Here is a 7,367-nt window from a genome sequence, read left to right as displayed (position 1 = left end):
AACCCAGGAGGCAGAGGATCCAGTGAGCTGAGATCGCACCAGTGTATTCCAGCCTGGGTGACAGAGTGAGACTATCTCAAAAAAAAAAAAAAAAAGCTGTTCCTCAGATCAAGTATAAGGCACCCATCTGAGGTGTCCTCACCCTCAGCCAAGCCCTGCCCCTCTCTCCATGCCACCCCAATCCAAATGAAGAAACAGAATCTTAGATCACAGGCTCCTGACTAGAGTGGAGAGGAGAAGATTGGAAGGGTCCAGTGCCTGGAATTGCCCACTGTCCTTTCCCAGAAGGAATCCTGGGTTCTGGCATCTTTGGCCATGCTGGTGCCCTGCCCCCCACCTGATCCAGCTGCAAGAAGCCCCGCATCCCGGCAGGAGCCCTATTCTTATCCTCCACTAAAGAGGGTTATCCTGGGACTGCAGCTTTAGGAGCTCAGCGCAGCCAGCACCATGAGAACTCAAGCTGGTACATTTTCAATGCAGGTCTATGTTGGGGATGACTCAGAGAAAAAGGCAGCAGCTCTGTGTTCTAAGGACACGGGGGACCAAAACCAAAACCAAAAAAAGTGGCTTTGCTTGCAACCCTCCTGAAGGAAGGACGCATCTCTTCCTTCCTCCTAAAGGAAGGACCCAGGTGGAAGGACCCATCTCTTCCTTCTGGGGAACTGCTCTGCACCCATCTCAGTCCATGTGTGGGGAGGGCGGACTCCACCCATGTGGCCCAGGCGTGGCAGGTCACAGTGATCGGGCGGAAGAAGACATGCAACTCCATCTGAGCCAACAAGAGTCAATCTTGGGCCTTTTGCTGGAGACATTCATTCAGCACCTCATGTTAGGTGCCGTTTGGTTCAGCAGTGAACAAAGCATGACTATGGAGAAGGACAAACTCTTGGGTGGCTAAAATGGCACCCAAGAAATCTGGCAGGTCATTTGCCACTACAAGGGGTAAAGCTGCCTGAGTATAAAGCTACCACAAGAGAAACAGAATGGCTGGGCGCGGTGGCTCACGTCTGTAATCCCAGCACTTTGGGAGGCCGAGGCGGGCGGATCACGAAGTCCGGAGTTCGAGACCAGCCTACCCAACGTGGTAAAACCCCATCTTTACAAAAAGCACACAAAAAAAAGCCGGGCATTGTGGTGGGCACCTGTAATCCCAGCTACTCGGGAGGCTGAGGCAGGAGAATCCTTTGAACCTGGGAGGCAGAGGTTGCAGTGAGCCGAGATCATGCCATTGCACTCCAGCCTGGGCGACAGGGCGAGACTCCGTTCCAAAAAAAAAAAAAAAAGAGAGAGAAACAGAACAAAGAGATATGGAGACAATTCCAGATAATCAAGTCACTTGGATCCAGCCATGCCCGAAGCTCACAGACTCCTACCCTTTTCTGTTACATGGATCAATAAATCCCCTCCCCCTCCCAAACTTAGGTGTGGAATTTTTTTTTGTTTCTGTTGGTTTTGTTTTTGAAATGGAGTTTCACTCTTGTTGCCCAGGCTAGAGTGCAATGGCACGATCTCAACTCACTGCAACCTCTGCCTGCCGGGTTCAAGGGATTCTCCTGCCTCAGCCTCCTGAGTAGCTGGGATTACAGGCATGCACCACCACGCCCGGCTAATTTTGTATTTTTAGTAGAGATGGGGTTTCACTATGTTGATCAGACTGGTCTTGAACTCCCGACTTCAGGTGACCCGCCCCCTTGGTTTCCAAAAGTGCTGGGACATGAGTCACCACTCCCGGCTGTTTGTTTTTTTTAGAGACAAGGTCTCACTGTGTTGCTCAGGCTGGACTTGAACTCTGGTGCTCAAGGGGATCCTTCCACCTCAGCCTTCTGAGCAGCTGAAGAGTACAGGCCTAGCTAACAACACACACACACATGTATATGTATACTCAAAATATATATATATTGACACAGTCTTGTTCTATTGCCCAGGCTGAAATGCAGTGGCCACGTGGAAAATAACACACCTGGCCAGTTTTTTCCTACTTTTTATTTTGAACTCAGTTTCTTGCTTAAGCCTCTAGACTCAGGTTTGGGCCCAGGATGGGCTGGGACCAGGACCTGCAGCAAGCCCAGGCAGCCTGGCCCAGGCCTCTTCTTGTTCTTAGCCTTTTATCTCCTGGGGCAATTAGGGAACCGAAGGCCCAGCCTTGGATAAACATCTGCCCAAGACTCTTGAGTCTCATGTACAATTTCAGAAAACGAGAAAAGAAAGGGAGCGGGGCGCAGTGGCTCATGCCTGTAATCCCAGCACTCTGGGGGGCCAAGGCAGGCGGATCACTTGAGGCCAGGAGTTTGAGACTAGCCTGGCCAACATGGTAAAACCCCATCTCTACTAAAACTACAAAAATTAGCTCGGCATGGTGGCACAACCCTGTAATTCCAGCTACTCTGGAGGCTGAGGCAGGACAATCGCTTGAATCTGGGAGGCAGAGGCTGCAGTGAGCCGGGGTCATGCCACTGCACTCCAGCCTGGGCAAGAGAGTGAGACTCTGTCCCAAAAAAGAAAAGAAAAAGAAAGAGAAGTGTGGGGAGGGCAGGGCACAGGCATTAGAGTTCCCCAGACAGACAGACCCCTGGGGATGCTTGACTAAGCCCATCCCAGAGTCACAGTTCAGGGTGGAGATATGGAATGTCAAAACCAGATAACTGTTTTGTTTGTTTGTTTGAGATGGAGTCTCGCTCTGTCACCCAAGCTGGAGTGCAGTGGCACCATCTCGGCTCACTGCAAGCTCTGCCTCCTGGGTTCACGCCATTCTTCTGCCTCAGCCTCCCAAGTAGCTGGGACTACAGGCACCTGCCACCACACCCGGCTAATTTTTTGTATTTTTAGTAGAGAAGGGGTTTCACCGTGTTAGCCAGGATAGTCTCGATCTCCTGACTTCATGATCCGCCCGCCTCAGCCTCCCACAGTGCTGGGATTACAGGCGTGAGCCACCGCCCGGCTGTTTTTTTTTGAGAGGGAGTCTCACTGTCACCCAGGCTGGAGTGCAGCAGCGCAATCTCGGCTCACTGCAACCTCCTCCTTCCGGGCTCCAGTGATCCTCCCACCTCAGCCTCCCGAGTAGCTGGGATTGTAGGTGTACACCACCCATGCCCAGCAGATTTTTTTTTTTTTTTTTTTTTTGTATTTTAGTAGAGCCAGGATTTCACCATGTTGGCCAGGCTGGTCTCGAACCTCTGACCTCAAGTGATCTGCCCACCTGGGTCTCCCCAAGTGCTGGGATTACAGGCGAGAGCCACTGCGCCCAGCCTCAGATAACTCTTAAAGATCATCTGTGCAACCCCTTCATTTTACACATGGGGAAACTGAAGCTCAGGGCATCTTGCTGGCGGTTACCCCTTCCTTCCTGGCAGTTCTGCCCATGCAGTTTTGGGGTTGAGGGAGGTGGAGAACTTCCTTTCTAGGGGTTCCCAGAGATTGGCCAGGGAAGTAGGGGACTCTGTGCCGCAGTCGAAGGGATTTGGGTTCCCACATCACCTCTCCAGCCCCCTAGGGAACTGTGCAAAGGAGGGGGAAATAGGAATGTAGGAATGGCCTGCTGAGTGGGTGTATCCATGATAACAGTAATTAGGGAGGTGGGAGGCTTTGAGCGGGCTAATTATGCAGGCTGGGTCTCAGACTAGATAACCCTCCTCCTTATCTTTATGCAGGGACCCAAAAGATAGGAAAACTGCAGTGCTCAGGAGTGCCATGAGGTAGCCCTAAGGACGCCTGCTGTGCAACAGGACCCTGCGAGGGAAAGGGGAAGGGATCCACCAAAGATAAACTGCAGATTATTTTATTTGTTTGTTTTTGTTTTTTGAGGCGGAGTCTTGCTCTGTCACCTAGGCTAGAGTGCAGTGGCATGATCTTGGCTCACTGCAACCTCCGCCTCCTGGGTTCAAGTGATTCTCCTCCCTCAGCTCCCAAGTAGCTGGGATTACAGGCACCCGCCACCTCACCAGGTTAATTTTTGTAGTTTTAGTAGAGACAGGGTTTTGCCATGTTGTCCAGGCTGGTCTTGAACTCCTGACCTCAGGTGATCCACCTGCCTTGGCCCCCAAAGTGCTGGTATTACAGGCGTGAGCCACTGCGCCCGGCCTTAAACTGCAGATTCTAAAGCTGCTGGGACTGGTTCGTCACTAGGCCCATGGACAAACTGGTCACCGATCCCCATGCTGACCGGTAGGCACTTACGGACGCTCACTGACCCTGAGGAGGATAGGGAGAGGTGCCTCCGCTTGGCATCCTCCGTGGGCTCAGGCTGGTGGGTCTCAGTCAGGCATTATGGAAATGATCTGAAGTTCTAGACACAAAGGTCAAAGCATACAGTACACAAAAGGAGTGTCTGAAAGGAAAGCCAACTGTTATAAATAATGGGGGACTCAGCCAGGCACAGTGGCTCACGCCTGTAATCCCAGCACTTTGGGAGGCCAAGGCGGCAGACCACCTGAGGTCGGGTGTTCGAGACCAGCCTGACCGACATAGAGAAACCACCTCTACTAAACCCATCTCTACTAAAACCCTACTAAACTCTACTAAAACCCTACTAAAACCCATCTCTACTAAAAATACAAAATTTGCCAGGCCTGGTGGCGCATGCCTGTAATCCCAGCTACTGGGGAGGCTGAGGCAGGAGAATTGCTTGAACCTGGGAGGCAGAGGTTGTGGTCAGCCAAGATTGAGCCATTGCACTCCAACCTGGGCAACAAGAGCAAAACTCCGTCTCAAAAAATAAATAAATAAATAAATAATGGGGGGCTCAAAGGTGAAACCCCAGGCTGCCAGCAATGCTGCCCCCCCACATCCTGTGGAGCCCTCAGGGCCTGGCACCTTCTACACTGAAATCATTCACTCAGTCAACAAATGTGCATTAAGTGGGGTATGGTCGTGTGCACCTGTAATCCCAGCTACTCAGGGAACTGAGACGGGAGGGTCACTTGAGCCCATAAGTTGGAGGCTTCCGTGAGCCGTGATCATGCCACTGCACTCCAGCCTGGGCAACAGAATGAGACCCTGTCTCTAAAAATAAAATTAAAAATAAATAAATGTGCATTAAACACCTACCATGCATTGGGCTCTGGAAAGATGCTGGGAACACCCAGATAAATAAGTTATGGTTCTTGCCTTCAAGAAGTCCCCAGGTCGGCCAGGCGCGGTGGCTCATGCCTGTAATCCCAGCACTTTGGGAGGCCAAGGCGGGCGGATCACGAGGTCAGAAGTTCGAGGCCAGCCTGACCAACATGGTGAAACCCCATCTCTACTAAAAATACAAAAATGAGCCGGGCATGGTGACGCATGCCTGTAATCCCAACTACTTGGGAGGCTGAGGCAGGGAATCACTTGAATCCGGGAGGTAGAGGTTGCAATGAGCTGAGATCACGTCACTGCACTCCAGCCTGGGCGACAGAGCAAGACTCCATATCAAAAAAAAATAAAAAATAACAAAGTCCCCGGGTCTAGCAGCTGGACTCCTCACCCAAGACCCAGACATCCCAGTATGGCCAAGAGGGTCTCAATTTATGCCTATTGCCCCTGTGTCATTATTAATAGGTTCCACTTGCACTCTCAAAAGTGTTCTGGTTTTAATGATAAACTATGCGATCACCTTAACCATAGCACATTGTTATAGGCAATGGTGGAAATAGCTGGGGAAAATGGGAGTATGTGCTGTTAAGACTATGATGGAGGCCGGGTGCGGTGGCTCACGCCTGTAATCCCAGCACTATGGGAGGCCAAGGTGGGCAGGTCACCTGAGGTCAGGAGTTCAAGACCAGCCTGGCCAACATGGTGAAACCCCCTCTCTACTAAAAATACAAAAATTAGTCGGGCATGGTGGCGGGCGCCTGTAGTCCCAGCTACAAGGGAGGCTGAGGCAGGAGAATCGCTTGAACCCGGGAGGCGGGGTTGCAATGAGCTGAGATCTTGCCACTGTTCTCCAACGTGAGCTACACAGCGAGATGCTGTCCCAAAAAAAGACTATGATGAAAAGACTTTGGTGGAAGCTGTGTGAAAGCAAGAATCAGTCTGCTTAATGTGTGGTCAGAGGTCAGACCACCAGACTATGGAGAATGTGATCAGAGGATGATTTTTTTTTCTTTTCTTTTCTTTCTTTGCTTTCTTTTTTTTTTTGAGACAGGGTCTTGCTCTGTCGCCCAGGCTGGAGTGCAGTGGCGAGATCCTGCAGCCTCAACCTCTTGGGCTCAAGTGATCCTCCTACCTCAGCCTCCTGAGTAGCAGGGACTATAGGCGCACACCACCACACCCAGCTAATTTTTGTATTTTTTGTAGAGATGAGGTTTTGCCATATTGCCCAGGCTGGTGTCCAACTCCTGAGCTCATACAATCTGCTCTCCTCGGCCTCTCAAAGTGTTGGCATTACAGGCGTGAGCCGCCGCACTCGGCTGGATGATGCTTTTTATACGTGTCTGTTTCTCTAACCCCAGGCTTGCTGCTCTTCCCCAACCCCCAGGGTTAAAACTGAGCTTCCTATTATGAGTAGCATTAGCAACATGCACGGGCTTCCAACTTCAGCTGCACTGGGCCACTAGGCACAATTCTCAAAAACCCTGGAGTTTCATGAATACAAACTAAGTACCCATCAGTCAGGTGACCGGCTAAAAGAATTATGGTACAACCAAACAATACAACATTATCCAGCGTAAATGGAATGAGAACACCTACTGAAAGCGTGTAAAAAAAAAATCAGAGTGAAGAATAGCAGGTACAATTTTCTGCACATTTGTGTAACAAAAGAGGAACGAGTGTGTGTATACACATACGTATATACACACGCACACATAAGTATGTATGTGTATATATACACACATATATACACACTTTTATATATATTGATTATAAATATATATATTTTATATATACACTTATATATATACACACTATATATATACACACACTATATATATACACACTATATATACACACTATATATATATACACACACTATATATATATATGCACACTTTTTTTTTCTTTTTTTGAGACGGAGTTTCTCTCTTGTTGCCCAAGCTGGAGTGCAATGGCGCGATCTCGGCTCACCGCAACCTCCACCTCCTGGGTTCAAGCGATTCTTCTGCCTCAGCCACCCGAGTAGCTGGGACTACAGGCGCACACCACCATGCGCAGCTAATTTTTGTATTTTTAGTAGAGACGGGGTTTCACCATCTTGGCCAGGCTGGTCTCTAATTCCTGACCTCGTGATCCGCCCGCCTCTGCCTCCCAAAGTGCTGGAATTACAGGCGTGAGCCACCGCGCCCGGCTTTTTTTTTTTTTTTTTTTTTGAGACGGTGTCTGTGTCACCCAGGCAGGAGTGCAGTGGTGCGATCATAGCTCACTGCAGCTTGGAACTCCTGGGCTCAATCTGAGCCGTC

The sequence above is a fragment of the Homo sapiens genome, chromosome 17 (genome assembly GCF_000001405.40).
Source record: "Homo sapiens chromosome 17, GRCh38.p14 Primary Assembly".
NCBI classification, from domain to species: domain Eukaryota; kingdom Metazoa; phylum Chordata; class Mammalia; order Primates; family Hominidae; genus Homo; species Homo sapiens.
Note: the sequence above shows the minus strand (reverse complement) of the source record.